At 58.9% G+C, this 22,098-nt stretch overlaps 1 protein-coding gene and 1 pseudogene across 3 annotated transcripts in view, besides 14 other annotated features; both read right to left on the reverse strand.

The window, feature by feature from the left end:
• Positions 1-683: part of a silencer, noted in NCBI's record as "silent region_3531", that runs on past the window's edge. NCBI's record gives its function as "represses an Ori minimal core promoter by ATAC-STARR-seq in GM12878 lymphoblastoid cells {active_cell/tissue: GM12878}" and the evidence as "EXISTENCE:reporter gene assay evidence [ECO:0000049][PMID:35858748]".
• Positions 1-717: part of a biological region, named in NCBI's record as "Sharpr-MPRA regulatory region 4001", that runs on past the window's edge.
• Positions 1-18,164, reverse strand: part of LTBP3 (latent transforming growth factor beta binding protein 3) — a 19,801-nt gene extending 1,637 nt beyond the window's left edge. Inside the window, exons 1-23 of one of the 3 annotated variants that reach the window (NM_001130144.3) lie at positions 17,434-18,164; positions 13,856-14,185; positions 13,506-13,708; positions 13,230-13,335; positions 12,969-13,061; positions 12,665-12,787; positions 12,053-12,211; positions 11,777-11,962; positions 11,353-11,369; positions 11,207-11,279; positions 10,931-11,029; positions 7,725-7,850; positions 7,495-7,626; positions 7,244-7,372; positions 6,603-6,725; positions 6,247-6,369; positions 3,232-3,354; positions 2,910-3,029; positions 1,405-1,533; positions 931-1,098; positions 676-759; positions 291-419; positions 50-187 (exon numbers count right to left, since the gene is read on the reverse strand). In NM_001130144.3, coding sequence (NP_001123616.1) covers positions 50-187; positions 291-419; positions 676-759; positions 931-1,098; positions 1,405-1,533; positions 2,910-3,029; positions 3,232-3,354; positions 6,247-6,369; positions 6,603-6,725; positions 7,244-7,372; positions 7,495-7,626; positions 7,725-7,850; positions 10,931-11,029; positions 11,207-11,279; positions 11,353-11,369; positions 11,777-11,962; positions 12,053-12,211; positions 12,665-12,787; positions 12,969-13,061; positions 13,230-13,335; positions 13,506-13,708; positions 13,856-14,185; positions 17,434-17,764 — 3,244 coding nt within the window. In that variant the 5' untranslated portion in view covers positions 17,765-18,164. The remainder of the gene's footprint in view (positions 1-49; positions 188-290; positions 420-675; positions 760-930; positions 1,099-1,404; positions 1,534-2,909; positions 3,030-3,231; positions 3,355-6,246; positions 6,370-6,602; positions 6,726-7,243; positions 7,373-7,494; positions 7,627-7,724; positions 7,851-10,930; positions 11,030-11,206; positions 11,280-11,352; positions 11,370-11,776; positions 11,963-12,052; positions 12,212-12,664; positions 12,788-12,968; positions 13,062-13,229; positions 13,336-13,505; positions 13,709-13,855; positions 14,186-17,433) is intronic. The other 2 variants (NM_001164266.1, NM_021070.4) reach the window with 2 other exon arrangements.
• Positions 423-717: an enhancer, noted in NCBI's record as "tiled region #4001; K562 Activating DNase matched - State 1:Tss". NCBI's record gives its function as "activates a minimal TATA promoter and a strong SV40 promoter by Sharpr-MPRA in K562 cells {active_cell/tissue: K562}" and the evidence as "EXISTENCE:reporter gene assay evidence [ECO:0000049][PMID:27701403]".
• Positions 934-983: an enhancer, noted in NCBI's record as "active region_4987". NCBI's record gives its function as "activates an Ori minimal core promoter by ATAC-STARR-seq in GM12878 lymphoblastoid cells {active_cell/tissue: GM12878}" and the evidence as "EXISTENCE:reporter gene assay evidence [ECO:0000049][PMID:35858748]".
• Positions 6,116-6,385: a silencer, noted in NCBI's record as "silent region_3532". NCBI's record gives its function as "represses an Ori minimal core promoter by ATAC-STARR-seq in GM12878 lymphoblastoid cells {active_cell/tissue: GM12878}" and the evidence as "EXISTENCE:reporter gene assay evidence [ECO:0000049][PMID:35858748]".
• Positions 6,396-6,695: a silencer, noted in NCBI's record as "silent region_3533". NCBI's record gives its function as "represses an Ori minimal core promoter by ATAC-STARR-seq in GM12878 lymphoblastoid cells {active_cell/tissue: GM12878}" and the evidence as "EXISTENCE:reporter gene assay evidence [ECO:0000049][PMID:35858748]".
• Positions 6,826-6,895: a silencer, noted in NCBI's record as "silent region_3534". NCBI's record gives its function as "represses an Ori minimal core promoter by ATAC-STARR-seq in GM12878 lymphoblastoid cells {active_cell/tissue: GM12878}" and the evidence as "EXISTENCE:reporter gene assay evidence [ECO:0000049][PMID:35858748]".
• Positions 7,396-7,575: a silencer, noted in NCBI's record as "silent region_3535". NCBI's record gives its function as "represses an Ori minimal core promoter by ATAC-STARR-seq in GM12878 lymphoblastoid cells {active_cell/tissue: GM12878}" and the evidence as "EXISTENCE:reporter gene assay evidence [ECO:0000049][PMID:35858748]".
• On the reverse strand, positions 10,660-10,702 carry LOC124902823 (uncharacterized; annotated as a pseudogene).
• Positions 11,951-12,626: an enhancer, noted in NCBI's record as "H3K27ac-H3K4me1 hESC enhancer chr11:65319617-65320292 (GRCh37/hg19 assembly coordinates)". NCBI's record gives its function as "activates a minimal SCP1, AML or CMV promoter by ChIP-STARR-seq in primed H9 embryonic stem cells {active_cell/tissue: H9 hESC(primed)}" and the evidence as "EXISTENCE:reporter gene assay evidence [ECO:0000049][PMID:30033119]".
• Positions 12,627-13,302: an enhancer, noted in NCBI's record as "H3K4me1 hESC enhancer chr11:65320293-65320968 (GRCh37/hg19 assembly coordinates)". NCBI's record gives its function as "activates a minimal SCP1, AML or CMV promoter by ChIP-STARR-seq in naive H9 embryonic stem cells {active_cell/tissue: H9 hESC(naive)}" and the evidence as "EXISTENCE:reporter gene assay evidence [ECO:0000049][PMID:30033119]".
• Positions 13,222-13,271: a silencer, noted in NCBI's record as "silent region_3536". NCBI's record gives its function as "represses an Ori minimal core promoter by ATAC-STARR-seq in GM12878 lymphoblastoid cells {active_cell/tissue: GM12878}" and the evidence as "EXISTENCE:reporter gene assay evidence [ECO:0000049][PMID:35858748]".
• Positions 17,993-18,232: a silencer, noted in NCBI's record as "silent region_3537". NCBI's record gives its function as "represses an Ori minimal core promoter by ATAC-STARR-seq in GM12878 lymphoblastoid cells {active_cell/tissue: GM12878}" and the evidence as "EXISTENCE:reporter gene assay evidence [ECO:0000049][PMID:35858748]".
• Positions 18,283-18,442: a silencer, noted in NCBI's record as "silent region_3538". NCBI's record gives its function as "represses an Ori minimal core promoter by ATAC-STARR-seq in GM12878 lymphoblastoid cells {active_cell/tissue: GM12878}" and the evidence as "EXISTENCE:reporter gene assay evidence [ECO:0000049][PMID:35858748]".
• Positions 20,934-21,597: an enhancer, noted in NCBI's record as "H3K4me1 hESC enhancer chr11:65328600-65329263 (GRCh37/hg19 assembly coordinates)". NCBI's record gives its function as "activates a minimal SCP1, AML or CMV promoter by ChIP-STARR-seq in naive H9 embryonic stem cells {active_cell/tissue: H9 hESC(naive)}" and the evidence as "EXISTENCE:reporter gene assay evidence [ECO:0000049][PMID:30033119]".

Consider the following 22,098-nt stretch of genomic DNA (forward strand, 5'->3'; position numbering starts at 1 on the left):
CCCGGGCCCCGCCCCTCCCGCGTACCCCACTCCCCGGCCCGGGCCTCACCCATCTCTTCCGGGCTCAGGCACTGGCGCTGCGCGGGACTGTACTCGGCAGGGGGCGTGCAGGCACAGCGGTAGCCGCCGCGCGTGTTCTCACACACTCCGTTCCGGCAGTTGGACTCGTCCAGGCACTCGTCCACGTCTGCAGGGAGGAAAAGCGTGGGTAGCAGGGGCAGGCCCGGGATGGGCGCGGTGGCGCGTGTCTCCCTGCCGCTTCCCCACGGCCGCCGGGGGGCGGAGCTCACCCACGCATTCCAGCAGGTTCCCGTCGTAGTAGAAGCCCTGCTTGCAGTAGCACTCGTAGCCAGGCTGCGTGTTCACGCACTTGCCCTCCTTGCAAATCTCCGACCCGAACAACATGCACTCGTCGATGTCTGCGGGGTGACAAACACTGGCCGCTCCGGTCCCGCAGCTGCAGCCCGGAGGCGTGGGCTGGGCGCACCACCGGAGCGAAGCCATCCCCGGGCGGGGCCTACAGGAGGGGCGGGGCCTACAGGGCGGGGCCTGCGAGGAAGGTGCGGGCGGGGCTTACCCGGCGCGGGCAGCTGACCCAGCGAGTCCCGGCGGGATCCGGGCGAGCCCAACCCGGGGTGAGAGGGCGCGGGGCGGGCGGAGCCGCAGGGCGCTTACCACGGTGGGCTGGGATGCCGTAGTTGACGATGTTGTTGTCCTGGGTGTAGCCCTTTCCGTCTGGGCAGAGGCTGTGGAACTCGGCTGCAGGGGCAGGGCGGCCGTGGGGAGGGAAGAGGCAGGACTGAGCGCGCGCGTGGGCTTAGGGCTGCAGCCCGCCGCCTATTTCCCAACTGCCAGGGGGCGCCATTTCCCACATTTGGCTTCCAGATGAAGAAACTGAAGATCTGGGAAGGGGCCTGCCCGGCTCCTGACCTGAGCTGTAGACTGGGCAGGGGTAGATTTCGCAGTGGTCGCCCCAGCCGGCCCCCAGAGAGCAGCAGCACTCCTGCTGGGTCACGTTGGTGGCCAATACGCTGTCGCAGAACACTGTGTCATCGAAGTTCAGGTAGCACTCCTTCTTGTGGTGGGGCTGCTCCACCTCTGAGGGGCAGACGGCAGCTCAGGGTTGTGCACAGACCCCCCTTGGCCCTGTCCACCCTGCCCACCCACCACAGGTCTTTCCCCCCACATTCCCTGGCTCCCCTTAGCCTCCTCCTGAGAGTTGGCTCTGTTCTCAACGTGGTGTTCTGGACCCTTCATCGTCTGGCCCCACCAGACTCCCCCAGCCAAAAGAGATTTCTTCCGGTTCCCCAAATTTAGGAGGGTGGGGCCAGGACACATCTCTGAATCCCAGCTGCAGCTCAGGGGAGTTGTCCAGTCCGAGGGAGGAGCTGGGAGGACACTCACCCTCACAACCGTGCTGGTCCTGGGTGGGAGTGAAGCCCTCATCGCAGACACACACATAGGAGCCCTGAAGGTTCTTGCAGGCCCCATGGGGAAGGCACAGGCTCGGGTCCTGGCTGCACTCATCTATGTCTGCGGGGCAAGAGTAGCGCAGCTGGAAACCCAGCCCCTCTTTCCCTGGGGCTGCACCTCAAGGGCCTCACACAAGTTCAGAACCTGAATTTCCACTTTGGTTTCAAAGTATGTACAGCAGGAAGTCTGCTGTGTCTGTGCATGTGTCTGAATGTGCATGTGGACATTAGCTGCTGTCCTTCATAACACCTTCAGTGGCTCCCACTAACCTTACAAAACCTAAAAGTATCAGAAGCCCAAATGGAAAGGCCTCAAATGCAATTGAGCTTCCGATACCTTTAGGTCTCATCACGCCTTACTCTAGACCACCCTCCACTCCCCAACTCTGTGCTCAGGGCACCCTCCCCTCCTCTGTAAACACAACTAGCTCCTTCCAGATCTCTATGCTTTGCAATTACTGCTCTTTGGTCCTGGAATGACTTCTCGTGCCTTGCCTTTCCCATGCCTAGGGAACTCCTACTTACGTTTCAGTCCAGTTCAACATTCACCTCCCCATTGCAATTAATCATTAGTCTATACCTTTCTTGGCACCCAGGACCCTGAACTGTCAGAATCAGTTTACATGTTGGCCTCCCCTAGCTGGGAGCCCTGGGTGATTGTTGATTACCTAGTACAAAGCACAGAACCTGGAAAATAGTAGGTGCTCAATAAACTTTTTTTTTTTTTTTTTTTTTTTTTGAGATGGAATCTCACTCTCTGCCCAGGCTGGAGTACAGTGGCGTGATCTCGGCTCACTGCAACCTCCGCTTCCCATCTTCAAACGATTCTTCTGCCTCAGCCTCCCGAGTAGCTGGGACTACAGGCGTGCGCCATCACGCCCGGCTAATTTTTGTATTTTTAGTAGAGATGGGGTTTCACCATATTGGCCAGGCTGGTCTTGAACTCCTAACCTCATGATCCGCCCGCCTCAGCCTCCCAAAGTGCTGGGATTACAGGCATGAGCCACCGCCCCCAGCCTGAGCCACTGCACTCAGCCTAAACTTTTGTTGGATGAATGCATGTGTATGGGTGAGTTGATGGGGAAGACCAATACATTAATATCTGTAAAGAGCTTAACAGAGTGCCTGGCACATAGTAAGCACCACGATAGCACTAACTGTCATGTTTACTGTGATCATTGTTATTCTAGGTGAAAGACTGGAAGGCTGAGCAGATGGATGGGTGGGTGAGTGGAAGGATGAATGGAAGGATGGATGGATAGAAGGATGGATGGATGGATGGATGGATGGATGGATGGATGGATGGATAGATGGATGGATGGATGGATGAAGGATGGTTGGATGGGTGGATGGATGGATGGAGAAAGGCCACAGTGTGTCTAGGGAATTACTGCTCCCTGCCACATCCCTCAGGAACCCTCAGCCAGTCCCCCATACCTTGGCATTTCCTGCCACCCACCAGCCGATGCCCCTGGGGGCAAAGACATCTGTAGGAGCCATTGGTATTGATGCAGTCACCCCCAATGCAGGCTGCAGGGAAGTCACACTCATCAATGTCTGTAGGGGATGGAAGGGGTGGAGAATCTCAGGGGCTGATCACCAACCCCAGCCTGAGGCAGCCAAAGCTTTCTCCCAGAGCCCTGGGTCAGTCCCACGCCCCTATGCCCCAACTGAGATCTGGATTAGGACTGGACCCTGGGGGGTGGGGGTCCTGGGGTAGGGAGGGACAGGTCAGCACCCCAGCTCTAAGATCCCTCACCCTCGCAGTGGCTCCGGTCCCTGGACAGATGGTAGCCAGAGAGGCACTGACACTGGAAAGATCCTGGCGTGTTGCTGCAGATGCCATTGTCACACACGTCCCCAGCCTCACACTCGTCCACATCTGCAGGGCATAGGGGGTGTCAGAGGACCAGGCTGGGTGGTCTTGGGTTTCTACTACTGTTTTCTCACTTCTGCGCATGGCCTGGAGCACCAGAGCTGAGGCCAGCAGCACTCAGAAGCACAGGCCTCACCCTGCTTCTGGGTGGCACACAGTGCCCTGACGACCAGGTCAGGTGCTGCCAGGGTCCCTAGGCCAGGTCTGATGCTAAAGAGCCTCCCCAGCCTCCCCCGCCCTCTCTCCCTGCCCCAGCCGCTTTCACTGCTGCTCCCACCCTTCCCTCACCTGCCATGGCTCCCTTTTTCCTCTGGGGATAAACTCCCTATCCTTGTTCTTCCCACTTTCTTCTGCTCATGCAGTAAAGGAACTTGACCCTCCCCCGGGACACACTTTCCTGAGGCCTCTCTGATGGAGCCAGTTGTTGCCCACATCCCAGACCCCTCCAAGCCTGAGCTCGGCCTCTGAGGTGCCGCCGGCCTCCTGCAGCCTCAGTCCTCCTGTGGCTGTCAGCACCCACCTTCCTCATTCCTCCTGCTCTGTTTTTCTCTCCATCCTGGGAGTTTCGAACATCCGCGTGGACAACCAGGTCAGCCTCTGACCTCACATTCCTGGATCTCTCGGCTTCCGTGACCTTCCCCTCACTCTCAGGGTCCCAAGGGGATTTTCATCACTCAGATCTGCTCCACCCTGGGGCCCTCAGAGGCTGCCTTCTTTCCACTGTTCTCAAGTCCTCACCTCCACCTTCTCTCTCACAGGGCTTGGTGGCCTCCCTCTCAGTCCTCCGAGCTTGCCTGACACCCCCAGACTCTGATAGTTCCCAGCTGGAGCCCAGGGCTTATCATCCCTAGGACTCCCGTCCCTGATCCATAAACACCTCTCCTTCCTCCTCACTGTCTGGCAATGCCCAGTCTCTGGTCAGAGCTGTGGCCTGTGGATCCTGGGTGCGGAGTGGGACTGGAGCAGCCACCAAGCTGAGCATGCTGGAACATACCCACAGGCTTCAGCCTCAGTCCAACAGAGCCTCGTGTGGCTGGCACCTCCCTCTCTGACTCCTCTAAAGCTTTGACTTCCATAAAGCCCCTAGGCAGCCCCATGCCCTGGGATACTTCCAAACCGCCACTGTTCTCCTGAGTCCCCTACTCAACCCAGGCCCTTCACTGTGTATTGAGAGAATTAAAGGTAATCCCCCTTAACCCACTGAACATCGTTATCTACATCCATTCCCCTCCTGCTCCTGTTACAGCAAGAGATGTCCCTTCCGCTGGCTCTCCTCCCTCCTCTCCTGACCCTGCTGCCCTCGTCTCCTGGTCCACTCTCCTGGCATCACCTCCTCAGCCTATACCAAAGCCCCACTTTGGAAGAGCAAGAGTCCCCAGGTCTTGTTCTTCTTCACTTTCTGCCCACATATCTCTGGCCTCTGTCCCTATCATATCCCAAAAGCTACCCTGCCAAGGCTACCAGGGACCTTCTTGCCAAGGAAGGCATCACTAGGATTTCCATGTAGGATTAGGGGGCAGACCCCTAAGTCTTGTCCTAAGACTTATTGTCTCACCAGTTATTATTTTACAAGAACCTCTCTACTGCACTTGGCTCATCCTCCTCCTTCCCTGGAAATATGTCCTCCCCAGCTTCCCAGATGGTGCCCCTCAGGCGCCCCTGCCATCCCTCCCCCACCATCTCCTCCAACGCCTTCCGCAGCCTGCCCCTGAACTGTCAGTGTCCACAAGGCTCTGCTAGATGCTCTGCTTACCCAACCCACCTTGGGTTGGCTAAGCAGGCCCACCCAAGACTCCATAGCTCCCCCGGTCCATGGTCCATCATTCCAGGTGGGTATGCTGGCATCTCCTGCTGAGAGGCTCACAGGCACAATCCATTCAATTTGTCCAATGTGGAGCTCAGCATTTTCCCTCCCAAACATGCCCACGCATGAGGACCCATTCCCAGTGAGCAGCACTACCCCCTCACTCACCCAAACTGGAAACGGGGAGGGGTCGTTATCACCCTCGCTTTCACTTGACATCCAGTTAAAAAACCCAGGAGGTCTAATATTTCTCCAATATCATCGTCTCATGGCCATCCTGAGCCCACCACTCATCCTGTCCACCACTGTCTCCGCCCTAAGTCTCTGCAACAGACCTCCCTCCACAATCAGCAGCAGGGAACGTTCTAAAACAAATGGCAAATCTTGTCACTCTTACACTTAAAATGCTGCAGGTGCCCTCTAACACCTTCTGGGTGAAGCACAACCTCCCAGGCAGGACTTAGGGGGCCCTCCAAGGGATGGGGACCTGTCCCTCCCCGGCCAGCCTCAGCCCCCATAGCCTGATCATTCCTTACAGTTCCCCAACACCCCACCCTCTGTCTCACCTCTGATCTGCCAGTGCCAACCCCTGTGCCTGCCATGCTGTTCCTCTCCTCCTTTCTTGCCCAATTCCTAGTGATTCTTTAAGATGACCCAGGCCTCCTTCCTCCCATCCCGCTGTGTCTCCAGGAAGCAGCCCAGCTCCATCCAGGCCCAGCACTGCATGCTACAGTCTGTCTTTCCTTCTCCAGTTTTCAATGAGTCCCAGCCCCCAGCCCCGCCTCTTGGCGTATAATAAACAGGAGTGCAGGGGGGAGTACTATCGTCTGCCCTCATTCTTTGATATCTTTTTTCCTTCAAATTTAAGTAACATGCTTTGCAAACGCAGCTTCGAGCTCTACCCCGAGACCCTTCCTACGTGGAAATTCTAGTGGTGCCTTCCTTGGCAAAGTTCGTTGAGAAAATGAGTGAGCAGAGTCACCTGGGGATGAATGAGCCACCTTCCACCCACTGTTTACAGACAGCGTGACCCGCTCCCCGGCTTCAGCGCGTAGGGGGCGGCGGAGGCCCGGGGCGGGGGTGCTGGCGCTCACCCAAGCAACTGCGGCCGTCGGGCGCGGGCGCGTAGCCCTGGGCACAGGTGCAGCGGAAGGAGCCCGGGAGGTTCTCGCACCAGCCAGGCGAGCAGGGGCTGCCCTCGGCGCACTCGTTCACGTCTGCGGCGGAAAGACCTAGCCTCGGACTCTGCCCCACCGGAAGGCGGACCGCGCACCTCGCGGGGGTGTGGGTCTCTTCCCTGGAACGCGGGGTTGAGAGGGCAGCCTCTACTCCCGGAAGGCCCCGCCCCCAGACGCCAATCACCACCGCTACCCCGCCCCGCCCCCAGCGGAGCCAGACTGGGGGAGGCACCTGACGGCCCCACCCACTCGGCTCCGGGCCCCGCCCTCACCGCGACAGGCCCCGCCCCCCTGGCTGCGGTAGCCAGGCTGACAGGCGATGCACTTGAAGCTCCCGGGCTTGTTCTCGCATTTGCCATCCGGGCAAGAGCTTGGGTCCCGGCACTCGTCGATGTCTGCACGGGAGGGAGAAGGAAGAGGACCCATCTGGGGACAACGCGGGTGGCCCGGCTCCCAGCGTCCACAGCAGGGACTTCCTCCCACACAGATCAACGAGGCTCCCGGACCCCAACCTCTGAGAGGCCCAGAGCCGAGCATACAGGCCGGGTGCGGTGGCACACGGCTGTAATCCCAGCACTTTGGGAGGCCGAGGCGGGTGGATCACCTGAGGTCAGGAGTTCGAGACCAGCCTGGCCAACATGGCGAAACCCCGTCTCTACTAAAAATACAAAAATTAGGCGTGGTGGCAGGCGCCCGTAATCCCAGCTACTCGGGAGGCTGAGGCAGGAGAATCGCTTGAACCCGGGAGGCGGAGGTTGCAGTGAGCCAAGATCTCACCACCGCACTCCAGCCTGGGCGACAGAGTGAGACTCCGTCTCGGGGGAAAAAAAAAAAAATGCAGGCACCCCAGCCCCACCCCAGGTGGAGAGACAGCTAAGGAGCTCCTTCTTTGGTCTGAATGGGGTCCCCTCACCTTCGCACACAGGAGGCCGGGAGGCTTTGAGCCGGTAGCCGGGGTAGCAGTTGCACTTGTAGTGACCGGGAAAGTTGATGCAGAAGCCGCCGTCGCCGCACAGGTGGGGCTTGGCGCATTCGTTCAGGTCTGTGCGGGAGGAAGGGGCCACGAAGGGGGTGTAGGAGGCGGCGGGCAAGGGGAGGGATTACACGGCGGTCTGGAGGAGAGCCCGTCCCACCCAGGGCCGCCTCCGCCCTGGCGGCGCTCACCCACGCACGAGCGCCCCCCGGCGCCCACGTGCAGGCGGTAGCCGCGGTTGCAGTGGCAATTGTAGGAGCCGCCGGTGTTCATGCAGATGCCCCTCCCCGGGCCACAGGGCTCTGCCTCGCACTCGTTCACATCTGAGAAGAACGGGTAGGCCAAGAAAAGTCAAAGGAAGCGTCGTTATCTGGGGTCCCCCCCCACCCACCTGCATGCCCGCCGCCTGCCCTGCGCTCACCCACGCAGTAGCGGTGCTGGGGATGTGACCGGTAGCCGGGGTTGCAGTGGCAGGAGTAGTCAGGGGGGCCCGGCACGCACTCTCCGTGGCCACAGATGTTCTGGTTCAGTCGGCACTCATCAGTCTCTGCGGGCATGGCCAGGTCAAGCGGCAGAGCAGGGAGCGCTCACCTTCTGCCATATCCCCAGGGCAGACCTCAACACCCCAGTCACACCATGACCTCAGGTTCCTGTACGCCCATACTCCAACTCCAGGATGTCCTATTTCTCTCTTTTAGATAACCCCAATATCAAGACCCCAGAAAGCTCCAAACTAGGACTCCAGGCCCCTGACAGCCGTATCACCCCACACCCAGGCCCGGATACTTCCATTCCCGGTTCACTCCAAGACCCTGACCCCACTCACCTCAAACCAAACCACATCCCCTCAGGGCCCCTCAGTCGTCCCAGTACTCCCACCCAAGGGACTAAAACTCCTTTCTCCCCAGTCGCCTCAATACCTTAAACTCTATAGCCTCGGTCACACCAGTGTCCTCTAGCCCAGTGACTCCATAAGCCCTTGCCCCAGGGACCCGACCCCCTATTCCAGAAGGGTTGATTACCCCCTCCCAAGACTAGCAGGAGCTGGTTTCCTGGGAATCCTAACTAGTGCCAAAGCTGTGCACAGGCAGTCAGATCCAGGAACCACCCCCCTCACTCTCTTTGTCACCAAGCCCAGGACTCCCTGCCTCCAGCCTCTCCCCTCCTTTGGATCCTCACTGCTCACCAGTTTCATTTCCCACACCCCTTCCCCCTCACTCCTGCCATGCAGCCTGGGCCATAACAGTGAACTCTGCTCTGCCCCAAACTCACCTGGCCAGTGGGCTTTGCAGGCTGTTCTCTTTGCCTGGAGTACCTCTCCTTAGGCTTCCTTAACAGCCCCTCCTTTGAGGGGCCTTGTCCACATTCCCAAAGCCCCCAAGAACAGCCATCTCCCACCTGAGCCCTAACCCTAGGAGCTCATGGAGGATCAGGGTTTCAGCTGGGTTGGCAGTTCCCTTGTGCTTTTGAAGCCCACACAGGCATGGGCTTGAACACGGCTCAGCTGTGTGACCTGGGGCAGGTTACTGAACCTCTTTGAGGCTCAGCTTTCTCATCTGGAAAACGAGGCTAACAACGCTCACTTTGCAGAGTATGAGAAGGTTAAATGGTATTTAGAACGTAAAACTCTTCAGACAGTACCTGGCACAGAGGGACTGCTCAGTCTGAGCTAGCAATTATGATGCTCAAAATCCTGCAGACACTGCCCATAGCCTCTGGCATTAAACTCAAGCCTCCTTGACAAGGCTCAGTGCACTGGACTTCCCCTGGTTCAGAGACACTGGCCTGTGTGTGGGTTCTCCCTCCTCCACCAGTGTTTCATGCTTCCATGCCTTTGCCCAACTTAACTTCCCTTGTGATATCCTTTTCCCAACCTGAATGCCCCTCCCTTCCTCATGTCTCTGGCATTTCTAACCATCTTTCTTTTTTTTTGAGATGGAGTCTCACTCTGTCCCCAGGCCGGAGTGCAGTGGCACGATCTTGGCTCACTGCAACCTCTATCTCCCAGGTTCAAGTGATTCTCCTGAGTAGCTGGGACTACAGGCATGCACCACCACGCCCAGCTAATCTTTTTTTTTTTTTTTTTTTTTTTTGGATTTTTAGTAGAGACTGGGTTTCACTATGTTGGCCAGGATGGTCTCAATCTCTTGACCTCGTGATCCACCCACCTCAGCCTCCCAAAGTGCTGAGATTACAGCCGTGAGCCACTGCACCCTGCCACAGTTTCCCAGTTTTCACAGGAAAACTCCCCAGGCCGGGAAAAAAAAAAAAAAAAAAAAGAGCATGGTGGCGCACACCTGTAATCCTGGCACTTTGGGAGGCCAAGGCTGGAAGATCACTTGAGCCCAGGAGGTCAAGGCTGTAGTGAGCCATGATCCTGCCACTGACTCCAGCCTAGGTCACAAGGTGAGACCCTGTCTCAAAAAACAAACTAAACAAATAAAAAGAAAGAAAGGAACCCAAATATTTCTTGAGCACCTACTATGTGCCAGGCACTGTTGAGGTGCTAGGGATATTGCATGAACAAAAACAGACAAAAATTTCCTGTCCTCGCAGAGCAGACAGGCAACAAGCCGATCAATAAGCAGAATCTCCTATGTCTTATAAATGCTATGAAAAACTAAATCAGGGCCAGGCGTGGTGGCTCACACCTGTAATCCCAGCACTTTGGGAGGCCAAGTCGGGCGGATCACAAGGTCAGGAGATCAAGACCATCCTGATTAACATGGTGAAACCCCATGTCTACTAAAAATACACAAAAAAATTAGCCGGGTGTGGTGGTGGGCGCCTGTAGTCCCAGCTACTCAGGAGGCTGAGGCAGGAGAATGGCGTGAACCCGGGAGGTGGAGCTTGCAGTGAGCCGAGATCGCGCCACTGCACTCCAGCCTGGGCGACAGAGCGAGACTCCGTCTCAATCTCAAAAAATAAAAAATAAAAATAAAAATAAAAAAATCAGAGTAGAAGGAAGGAGTTCTGAGGGTTGTGATAATAAGTAGGGTGGCAATGATAGAAGGCTTTCTGAACAGATTTTGAAAGATGGTTATGGGCTGGGAACAGTGGTTCATGCCTGTAATCCCAGCACTTTGGAAGGCCGACACGGGCGCATCACGAGGTCAAGAGATCGAGACCACCCTGGCCAACATGGTGAAACCCCGTCTCTACTAAAAAAAAAAAAATTAGCTGGACGTGGTGGCGCATGCCTGTAATCCCAGCTACTCGGGAGGCTGAGGCAGGAGAATCGCTTGAACCCGGGAGGCGGAGGCTGCGGTGAGCCGAGATTGCGCCACTGCACTCCCGCCTGGCGACAGAGCAAGACTCCGTCTCAAAAAAAACAAAAAACAAAAAACAAAAAAAAACTGGGAAACCTGCTAGACAAATTCTAAAAGACCTGTAACACTAATAAGTATTTGTTGAATGAATGAAATCCCTCAGAATGGGCTAACCACCATGCTACCTGGATCGTTTAGGGCAGTGGGATCTCTGGTGCTCACCAGGCTTCCCCAGTGCCCAGCCCTGGATACACGCTAGCCTATTAGCGCTAGGGAATGCCTGGGGGCGGGAGGGAGGAGAGAAAACTAAAGTGGGGGCGTGGCCTAGGCAGGGGTGGCTTTGCTGGGCGGGCCTTACCTGTGACCTGAGTGGGAGCGATCTCTACGGCGCTGCGGGAAGGAGGCAAGTCCGGCAGGAACCAGCGCATGGTCGGGGGCGAGGGACGGGAGATCAGCTCTGCGGGCGGCAGTGCACTCTGGTCAGAGACGATATTGACTGAAGCCTCCCTTTCCACTTCAGTCTTGGCCCGGCGCCCCACCCCAGCTTGACTGTCCCCGAGTACTTAAACTGTGAACTCCCCGCCCACCCAGTGATTTAGCCCTTGAGGACTCATCCCTACAGTGCCCAGCTCACCGGGGTAGGGCCGGGCAGGAGTCGTGGTGGCAGTTGGGTGGCTCTGCTGCACTGACCTCTCCTCACTCACCGGCTGCGGGTGACAGCAGCATGAGCCCTCCTGTCCCTCGCCTGCCCACCCCTCCCATCTGGGTTCTCATACTCACTGAGTCCGTGGTCACCCCTAAAAGGGAAGAAGATGGGGCCATGAAGTGTTGGGGCGGGAGAAGGGAGTCAGATCTGGGATCAGCAGCTGAGTATTTGCAGTTAGGGTCTCTGGGAGTTCAACAATCATGTCTCCAGGTCAAGGGTCAGGGGTTAGATTCTGGGGTTAGGGTGTGTTTGCATAGTAGTCACATGATCAGGTTGAATGGCCTTGGGTTACAGGTCAGGCTGTAGAAGGCTTAGGAGGTTATAGCTCAGGGTCAAATATCTGGGTCAGGGGTCAGAGGGTCAGGTGGGAGGTCAGTGGATGGGTCAGGGATAAGGAATTGGGGGTTAGACTGTGAGGTCAGATCTGTGGATCACGGGTCAAGGGGTCAGGCCTAGGGGCTTGGCATGGGTCAGGGATCAGAAGGGGTCAGGCTAGACCTCTCTCTTCCTCTGTGTCCTCAGGTGGTGGAGCCTGGCTAGGGCTCTCCGGAAGCTGCTGGGGCTTGGGTGGCCCGTCAGGGTGCAGGAAAAGGGAAAAGTCACTCTCGCCCTGAATGGTGAGCGTCTGGTGGGAGGTGAGAATGTGGTATCCCTTCCCAGCTGGGCAGATCTCCTTGAACGCAGCTGCAGTCAAGACAGCAGACACAAAAGTGAGCATTTCCTGGACAGGTGCATGGACCTATGAACCCCTATCCCCGGGTAACCCTGACTCACCGGTGCCATCTGTTGGGCAGCGCTGACACCGCGCGCCCCAGGCCTTGCCGACACTGCAGCAGCAGAGCTGGCGGGTCAGGCGGGTGGTCAGTGGGTGCTGGCACTGGTGCTCAGGGCTCACCAGGCGGAAACACAGGCTCTTCTCCTCCGGTTTGTCTGCTGCAGGGGCCAGTGGGGGGCATGGGCATCTGAGCCTGCACATTGCCCACGTCCCTCTGCCCAGCTGCTGCAGACCTTGCCTCTCCGGCCCAGACAACCCTTGATCCCCCATGTGGTCTCTGACCCCATATGACCCTGAACTCATGTGACCCCTGAAACTTATGTGACCACTGACCCCATTGACTCCCGATTCTAGCTATCCTGGACTTCACCACTCCTACTCATCAAGCCTATGTTCTGCATGACTCTGACTCTATGTAATCCCTGACCCCATGTGACTGCTAATGGCAGATCTCATGTGACCCCGGACCCTGCTGATCCCTGATCCTATTGGCTCTGGGCCTTGTTCCTCCTGCAGTCAACCCTTAACCCCACTCTGATCTCTTGCGATCTCTGATCCTTGCTCCCACCCATGCCTTGTGACCTCCCAGGAACCTGAGCCCCAGGTCTCACCAATGCACTGTGTACGGGAGGGGCCTAAACTATGGCCAGGTGGGCAGACACAGCGATAGGAGCCAGGGTTGTTGAGGCAGTCACCATGGCGACACACGCCCGGCATTGCGCACTCGTTGATGTCTGTGGTAAGTGGAAGTTTGGCCCCTCTGGTCTGGGGCCATGGGGTGACAGCAGGCTGCTCCAAGAACCTCAGGGTCTTGCCCCAGCCCCACCTCCTCTCTCGCCCACCTTGGGACCCTCCCCACCCCCAGTGATGGCTGGCCTGCCCCTCCAGCCCACAGAATCTCCTAGCTGGCCATACCCTGGCAGTGGGTGCTGTTAAGCCTCTTGTAGCCCTGGGGACAGTCAGCGCCCACTTCCCCACGTACAGGCCCTGGCTTCTGCACTCCTGTGTCTGCAGAGAGAGGATAGCTTGGCAGGGGAGGGTGAGGAGGGAACTGGGGAGGGGCACAGCAGATGTAGAGAGGAATCTGGTGACCTGGGGACTCCCACTGCAGGGATGGGTGGGGTGGGTGGGGAGGGGCCACCAGATAGGGAACGCCCCCTGAGCCCAAGCACTCACACTGCAGCTGGGGACACTTGTGGCACTTGCTCTGGCCCCAGGCAGTGCCGATGCTACCGCAGCAGTCTTCCTGCTTGGTGAGGCCGGGGAGGGGGTTGCTGCCACACTAGGGGAAGGAGGGGGAGGTGGGGTCACAGAGCACCCCGCCCCGGTGCCGCCTGTTAGGGTTGGGCCTTTTCCTCTTCCCCCGCCCCTCAGTTTTCTGCTATCCGAGTGAGTTGGGGCAGAGCAACCCTGAGAGAAGGAAAGGCAGATCCCGACTGTGGATTCACTCACCGGCTGCTTGGGCAGAGTGTCCTGAAAGCAGCGGCCCAGGGGCTTCTGGGTGGGCGGCCGGGGGTGCGAGGGCTTGGGGTGCGGCAGCAGGTGCTGGGAGGGGGCTGCGCTCTCGGCGTTCGAGCTCTCAATGCGGTGCACCTGGACTGAGGCCTCGGGCGGGTGATGGACGCGCACATTCACCACGGGGGGCGGGGCCTGCACTGGGGGCGGGCGCGGTGGCCTCAGGGCTGCCCGCACCGCGCCGCGGGTCACCGCGCTGAGCTCCTCCAGGGCTGAACCTGCCCTGCCCTGGCCACCCTAGTGCCCACCCACTGGCGACCTTCCCGGGTTTGCCAGTTGCCTGGTACCTTCTGCTGAGATCTGTCCCGGGCCTAGGGGCACCAGGAAGGCTGCGTGCTGGGCAGGAGGCCCCTCCCCGGGCCCAGGAGGGTCAGCGATCACCTGGACGGCGTAGATGGCGTGCTTGCTGGCCACAGAGTCGCCCTCCGGAGCCAGGGGCGGCAGCGCCCCTGTGGACAGGGCCCCTGTCCTGCTCAGGCCGGGGCCTGAGCCGCCGGTACCCCCACCGGCTCCTCCTGCGGGCACCTGGCAGAAGCGCCCAGTGAAGTCCGGGGGACACAGGCACTGGTTTCGCGAGGAGCACTGGCCGCCATTCATGCAGGGGAGAGGGCACACCACTGGGGAGAAGAGTGGGGTCAGGCCCTCACCCACATCCTGTCTCTTTCCCCTCCTCCCTACTTCCTTGCCACCCACTGGCTCTGTCCTCTTGGGAAGCCAGGTTTTGAGATACATCCTACATAGGGAAACTGCCCTCTCTAGGTTCCCCAACATCCTTACACCTATGTTGGGTTCTGGAGTCTCAAGTCCAGGATTTAAATCCTCGCTAAGCCATGTGCCAGCTGTGCGACCCTGAGCAACTCACGTCCCCTCCCTGTGCCCCAGCGTCCTCATCTGTAGAGATGTGTGGGTTAGATGAGGTAAGGGCTGTACAAATGCTTACCCCAGGGCCTGGTACACAAAGGGTGCTTAATAAGTGGTAGCAAATAATTATGGTGATCTGGCTTTCCCCTTGAGCCTTCCAAAGGTATTGGCTCCGTCCCTGGCGCCTCCTCCTCTTCTCCCATAAACCCTTCCCTCCTTCAGGCCTCAGTCCTCTCTGCCTGCTCTCCACCCTCTCCCTCTTCACCATCCTGGGGCGCCCACCTCACCACTGCCAAAGATGTCCACATCTCAAGACACAGACACAGCCCCCAGCCTTTCCAGGGCTCTCTCAGGCACCTCTGCCCAGGACATACTGTCAGAAGTCAGCATCCTGCCTCCCCACCTCCTCTTCACCTGGCCACCAGGCATCCACAGCTGAGCCCCGACGGCTCCGTCCCTCCTGCTCTCCCCTGCCCAGTTACAGCCTCTAATGTCCCATGAACCTGCCTCCCCTCCTCCCTAGGGCCACTGCTCCTGCCCTGGCCCAGGCCTGGCCACCCAGACCCCTCCTTGGCTTCCAGCCTCTCCTGCTGGTCCACAATCTCAGTGTCCCAGAGAAACCTGCCTCAGGCAGAAGCTCACTCCATGGACCAGAACCTTTTCAGCCCATCCCCCTCTGCTCCTTCCCTGTGTACTGCACACCCCAGGACCCATCTCCCTCTTGCAAATGTGCCTGCCTCCTGCCTCCTGGCCTCATCCATGCCCTTCCCTCCACAACAGGGCCCCAGGTCCCCCCCCTCTCTATATATGCAGATCTCATCCTTCCTAGCTCAGTGTCTCCACCAGGAGGGAGGCTTTCCTCCTATCCGGCCCCCCTGAGCTCCCTCTCCTGCCTTACCACCCACTGGCCAGCTCTGCCTGGCACCTGCTTGGCTATGTTCTTGTCTGTCTGCCTCCTTATAGAGGGTGCTCTGGAAGGCAGGGCCAGGCTGGCCTCAGCTCTGGGTCCCACAGGGGGTTCGGGGGAATGAATGAAAGAATGACTGAGGGAGAGGATGGGACCTCTGTCTGTTTCTGTCCCATACTCACCTTCAACCTGTGCTACTACCAGCCTTGGGGCTCTGACTCATCCCAAAGCCCCAGCCCTTCTCCTGCCCACCCCATGGCTGCCCTCACTTCCCAGGGCAGGAGGGCAGGAGGGCGGGGGTGCTGCTCTCCTGGATGCCAGAAGGGCCTCACAGGGACAGCCCATATCCATGGCCCTCAGGGTCAGGCTAAGCACATCCCAGCCCAGCCCATCCTGCCTGGCCTCTTGGGGCCAGGCCTCACAGAGCAGAGGGGTGTGTCCTGGGCGGGGGGAGGTAGGATTCTCTTTTTCCTTTCTGCCAGTGAGTCACTCATAGCGGTGAGAGTGACCTCCCAATGACACCCGCCCACTGTGGCCTGGGCACCGAGCCTGGGGGATGTGGGCAGCACAGATGGAGACAGCAGCCTGGGCAGGATGGCCAGGGAGCCTGGGAGATGGACACACGTACACTCACACCCACAGTCCTCTTGTCACACACACACAGAGACTCATCCTGACACCAACACAGGTTCACATAAACATTCCCATACATTTGGCCGGGCGCAGTGGCTCACACCTGTAATCCCAGCACTTTGGGAGGCCGAGGCAGGTAGATCACTCGAGATCAGGAGTTTGAGACCAGGCTGACCAACATGGTGAAACTCCATCTCTACTAAATACAAAAAAATTGGCCAGGCGTGGTGGCGCATGCCTGTAATCCCAGCTACTTGGGAGGCTGAGGCAGGAGAATCACTTGAACCCAGAAGGGGGAGGTTGCAGTGAGCTGAGATTGCGCCATTGCACTCCAGCCTGGGTAACAAGAGCAAAACTCCATCTCAAAAACACAAAAACAAAAACATTCCCACATACTCTCTAACAGCGACTAGAGACACACACCCAAGACAACACAAAGACGGGTACTTCACAGTGTGCCACGCCATGCCCATGGCATGACCCCAGACACAGGGGCAATATGCGCACAGACACACGCACGCACACCCCATCTCATGACAAATTTGAGCCACATGAGTGGGGTTCCTTAGCTCTGTGAGTGGGAGAGTGAATATAGGAATGTGTAAGAGGGGCTGTTTTGCTGGTGCCATCCTGGGCCTGGCCTAATTACCCTGTCCAGGAGGGTAATTACTGCTGGGACACCTCCCCGAGCCTGGCCCACGGGGCCTAGCAGGAGGATGACTGAGCCCCAGGCCTGGCCCTTTAAAGAGAGATGCTGGGGAGGGGGTGGACTCCAAGCTGAACTGGGGAGGGTGTAGGGGCTTGGGGGAGGATGAGGGGGGCCCTGAGGGCCTCTGAGGCAGGATGTTAGGAGCTTATGGGGAGGCATTGGAAAAGGAGAGGCTGAGAACCCCGAACTAGTCCCTACCTTCAGGCCTGCACCCTACTTTTAGGCCTCAACACCCTCCCTACTCAGACCTTGCCAGTAGCCGGCTCCCATCCCCAGCCCTGACCTTAGCTCCTCCTCCCAGGGAATGCAGGTGTCTACTCTGGCAGGCCCTACTTTAGACATTTTGTAAAGACTTTTCTTGTTTCTTCCAGCAAGTCTGCTTCTTGCGGGAATATTTAGCCCTTCTCTGAGGCTTCCTGTCCCCGGCTCACATTCCTCAAAAACCCTGTGTGCTCCTGCTCAGAACTCAGCACCTTCTGGGAAGCCAGTGTCATCCAGGACCTCTGCATTTCCCCACCCCTTAGGCCCCAACCCTAACGCAAAGCTTCAAAGTCCAGGCCTCCATGCAGCCCTCCAACTCTGGCCCCCAGAGTTCCAGCCTCCCAAGTTCCCTGAGGCCCCTGGTCCCCCAGGCCCTCGGATCTCTGCCCTTTATACCCTCAGCCCCCAGTCTCTAAGGCCAAGACCCCACTAGCTCTCCCACCGGGCCTGGTGCCTGTCCTTCCCCTGCCCCCAGCCGTGCCCCCGGCCCTCACCCACGCGGAAGCCGGAGCCCGTGAGCGTGTCTGTGCTGTGGCCGTTCTCTCCGATGAGCGTCATGTTGGAGCCCTGCTGACAACTGTCCCGACACTGGCCCTTGAGACAGGTCCGCTTGCAGATCACCGGCGCAAAGACCACCTTGAAGCGCTCGCGGGCCAGCGCCCCGCCCCCGCCTGCGCCCCGCTCGCCGGCCGGCCCCCCCTCGACCCTGCCGCCCAGGCCCAGCAGCAGCAGCAGCAGCAGCAGCAGCAGCGCCAGCAGCCCCGCCGCCCCCGCCCCGCGCATCTCAGGGGCCAGGCCGCCAGCAGCCCCTCGGGGCCCGGGCATCCGGGGCCGCAGGACCCGGGGGAGGGGGGGCGCGCCCGGGCGGGGCGAGGGGCCCGCGCCCGAAGGGAGTAGAGGGCCGGGAGCCCCGGGAGAGGGTAGGGGGCAGCGAGGGAGGGCAGCGGGGGAAGCGGGCGGGAGGGGACCGCGGGGGCCCGGCGGGAGGCGCGGAGATGCAGACTGGACAGCGGGGAGCGCAGAAACTTCCCAGCCCCAGGACGAAGCCCAGACCAGGCCCCGAACTCAGGCAGGAGCGAGGAGGCCGGAGCAAGTTGAGGCGGAGAGGAGGAGCGAGGGAGAGGAAGGCCGGGCGGCCGGCCCGCTCCGCGCCTCCCCCTGGCCGGGCTCCTCTCCCGCGGCCGCGGGGAGGCAGGGAGCGCGCGGGGAGGGCTCAGGGAGAAGTGAGCAGTTGTTTTCCCTGGCTGGAGCGCGGCGCGGCGGCGGCGAGGGGGGCTGGGACGCTGGCCCCGGGCCAGGGACACAGTTTTTTTTTTTTTGTTGTTTAAAGCGTCGCCTCTGCCGCCTGGAGAAGCGAGGGTGTGCAGGCTGGCGGAGGCTGGGGGGTGGCGCGGGGACAGTCCCCACCCCAGATGCCCGCCCCCGCCGGAACCCGCGGCCGCGCTGGGCCCTTTCCAGAGGGCCCTCACCTGGGACCGTCTGGCCGGCCGCGGATTCCTCCGGGCGGGGCGGGGCGGGGAGGCCTGCGTAGAGCGAGATACCGAGGCTGAGGGAGAGAGGTGGCCCTGCCGGGTCACACTGACGATGGAGGCCGGGTGGAGCCGGAGCCCAGGCCTTCCAGCTCTTTCCCAGCCTCCCTTGCAAACGTGGGGGTCTCAGGGCCCCAAAGTAACTTCTCGTTAGTGCTGGTCCAATCCCCTCTGAGGAAAGGGCTAAAGGGTGGGGACAGCCTTTGGCCAGGGCTCACGGAGGTCCCAGGAGGAAGTCTGTGGGGTCCAGAAGAGGAGCAGAAAGAACAAAGCTAGAACCCAGCTTCCCTGCCAGCCCCCTCGGAATGGCTTCCTGGTGCCCACCCTGCCACCTCCCCCCTTTCCTTTCGTCTGGCCGTGCTGGCGGGGCTGGCTCTGGGCCTCAGACACTCTGGAATCGCCAAGGTCTGAGCTCAGGGCCTGGCCCCCTTCCCAGGCTAACAGCCGGGAGGACGGGGGCGCTGTCCGAGGGCCCAGGGGCTGGAGAGGGGCACAGCAGAGCCCCAGGGCAGGGGCTGGCAGCGGCTGGGGGTGGGGGTCTTCAGGTTGGCCATGGCTGGAGAGGAGCATAGTTCCAGACCAGGCTTGTCCGCTGGTCTGGAAGGAAAGGCTGCAACGTGCGGGGGCCCAGGCCTTACTGTGGGGCCTGCCAGGAGACCCCAGGGTTCCGTCTCTGACTCACAGAACTCAGCAGGAGGTGGGGACGGCTAGGGCACATCCAGGAAAAGCGCTGCCAAGTCAGGGCGGCACCAGACCCTCTCCCGGACAGCACCCGGGGCAGCAGTCTAATTGGGGAGAGGAGGTTCAGGGACTCACTTTCAGGCACACCTGTCCAAGGAACTCTGTTTTTACTTTGAGCGTAAGTTGATGTGGGTAGCTTTAGGGGGACGCTTAGTAAGTCCCCCTTACTAAGCGGTGCAGGGCTGGGAGGGACAATCACATGTCCCCAGGGATCCCTGCTGCCGGAATCCAGGATGGGGTGTGAGGGGCAAGCCCCTGCTTCTTGGGGCCCTGGTCCACACGGAGGCAGGGAATAATGCTAGGTGCCGACCACCTGCCAGGCACAGGGCTGAGCATTGTATACTCATTTTTTCCTAACACTCATCTGAACCTGTCCTGACTCTGCCTAGAGCTGGCTGTGGCTCACCATGGAGCACAGCACAGTCAAACAGTCCAGGGTTGGATTCTTACTGTCTCTAAGCCCCAGTTTCCTTGCTTGTGAGATGGGTATCTATTCACTCAACATCTATGTTCAACTACTGGTAATAAAAAACAAAAAATTAAAAAATAAATGTAAAAAATTCACTCAACAAACTGAGACTCCACCACATCCTAAGCTCTTGGCCACAAATAGAACCAGTCCTGCCTTCCTGGAGCTGCTGTACTAGGAGAGCTGGATATGTGCCAGATCAATTCACACAGAACTGTGGCTACAACAGAGGCTGGTACCGTGACAGAGAAGGGCAGGGAAGCAGGACAGGAGAGGGCTGGGACCTGGGAGACAAAGAGAGTCTTCCATCGGAAGCTGGAAGATGAGTAGGAGTGAGTCACACCTGTGGGCATCTGACCTCAGGGGAGGCTGCAGGGGGAGGCTATCCAGAGAACTGAGGGAAGGCCAGTGGAACAACAGGGTGTGGTGGAGAGGGAGAGCCGAAGGTGTAGTGGTGGTGGGAGGGGCCGGCCATGGTGAGGAATTTGCTTTTATTCTCATTGCAGTGGGACTGTGTCAGGGCAAGAGCGGGCACTCTGCCTTCATCCCAGGAGAGAGATCTCACTTGGCCCTGGGAGAGATGTATTTGGGAGGGGAGATGTAAAGACTGGGTGAAGTAGGGGTGCTGGAGAGGTAGGTGGCATGAATGGCCCCCAGATTCCTGGCCTGATCTCTGGATGGGCGAAGAAGAGGGGAGGCAGAGGAGCTGGAAACATGGGGCAGGGTCCACAGCTCTGTTCTGGTCCTGCTGAGTTTGAGATGCTTGTGAGTCATCCAAGTGGAGGTGCCCGAACCCGGGAGTCTGCAGCTCAGACAGGATGTCTGGCCTGGAGACAGAGGCTTGGGGTTATACAGGGGGCATCTACGACAGCGGGAAAGGGTGGGCTTACTATGGAGAGAAGAGAGCCCAGGGTGCCCAGGGAGATCACTGTTCCCGGGTCAGGGAGAGGAGGCGGAGTCAGGCAGGGAGAGGAGGCGGAGTCAGGCGAAAGACCAGAAAGAGCAGCTGGAGGGAGCAGAGAGGAAAACCAGGAGTGTGGTGGGGAAGAGCCAGGAGGACGGTGTGGCCCTCGGTGTCTAAAGCTGCTGCCAGTATGATGGGGGGATAACAGCCCTTCTTCAGGGGCTGATGAGGGGACTCAGTGAGAAGGATCAATGAAAGTGTCCAGCCCAGTAATGATGCCCAACTCAAATGATATCCAACCAAATTCCTTCAGCTCTCAGGGCCTCCGCAGGAAATAGCTGAAACCACTGGGGCTAGCAACAGAGGGACATCACTCCAGTGCACATTGCTCCACTGGCATAACCAGGGAGGGTGCCTGAGAGGTGTGGCCTGAAGCAGAGCAGCAGCCCCTGGCCCTCTGCAGTCTGCAGGGAGGGCGCTGGGGGAACAATTATCACCCTAATCTCTTCCTAGCCACGGGTCTCCAGCTGGGCCAACCGTGGGCTGAACCCAGAAGAAAGCCTGTGGGCTGAGGGGCCTGGGGGTACAGCAGGTGGAGCTTAGCTTTCCAGCTCAGCAGGGAGGTCAGGAATGCAGAAGGGGTCTGCAGGGCAAGCTGACAAAGCCCAACACACATGGTCTCTTTGGCCTGAACATCTTTTCTAACCTCATCACTACATGTGGCACCTCATTTGCCTAGAATCTGCCAGCACACTTTTTTTTTTTTTTTTTTTTTTTGAGACAGGGTCTCACTCTGTGCCAGGGCTGGAGTGCAGTGACATGATCTTGGCTCACTGCAGCCTCAACATCCCTTAAGCAGCCTCGAGGGATCCTCCCACCTAAACCCCCCCTCCCACCGCCGCCTCAGTAGGTGGAACCATAGGTGCACAACCATGCTTCGCTAACTTTAGGATTTTTGGGGTTTTTTTGGATTCTTTTGGAGACAAGCTCTTGCTCTGCTGGAGTGCAGTGGTACGATCTCGGCTCCACTCTGCAACCTTCATCTCCCGGGTTCAAGCGATTCTCATACCTCAGCATCCCCAATCAGCTGGGACTACACGCTCATGCCACCACATCTGGCTAAATTCTTTTGTATTTTTAGTGAAGATGGGGTTTCACTATGTTGGCCAGACTGGACTCAAACTCCTGACCTCAAGTGAGCCACCTGCCTTGGCCTCCCAAAGTGCTGGGATTACAGGCGTGAGCTACCACGCCCGGCTGCCGGCACACTTTTATTCCTCCATGATGTACATTCTCCTGTAAGTCCAAGGAGACCATGATCTTCCTGATTACTTCAGATCATTCCTGGCAATAACAGGTCTTCCCACTGCTACTCTGCATCATCTGGTCCCTCCTCCTCCTGGTGCCGGAGTCACCTTTCAAAACCTAATTCCACCATGACTCTCCTCCTTAAAATACCTCCAGTGATTTCCCTTGCTCACCCGAGCCTGCCAGGTCCACTGTTCCTCAGAGTGGC

The sequence above is a fragment of the Homo sapiens genome, chromosome 11 (genome assembly GCF_000001405.40).
Source record: "Homo sapiens chromosome 11, GRCh38.p14 Primary Assembly".
In the NCBI taxonomy this organism is placed as follows: Eukaryota; Metazoa; Chordata; class Mammalia; order Primates; family Hominidae; genus Homo; species Homo sapiens.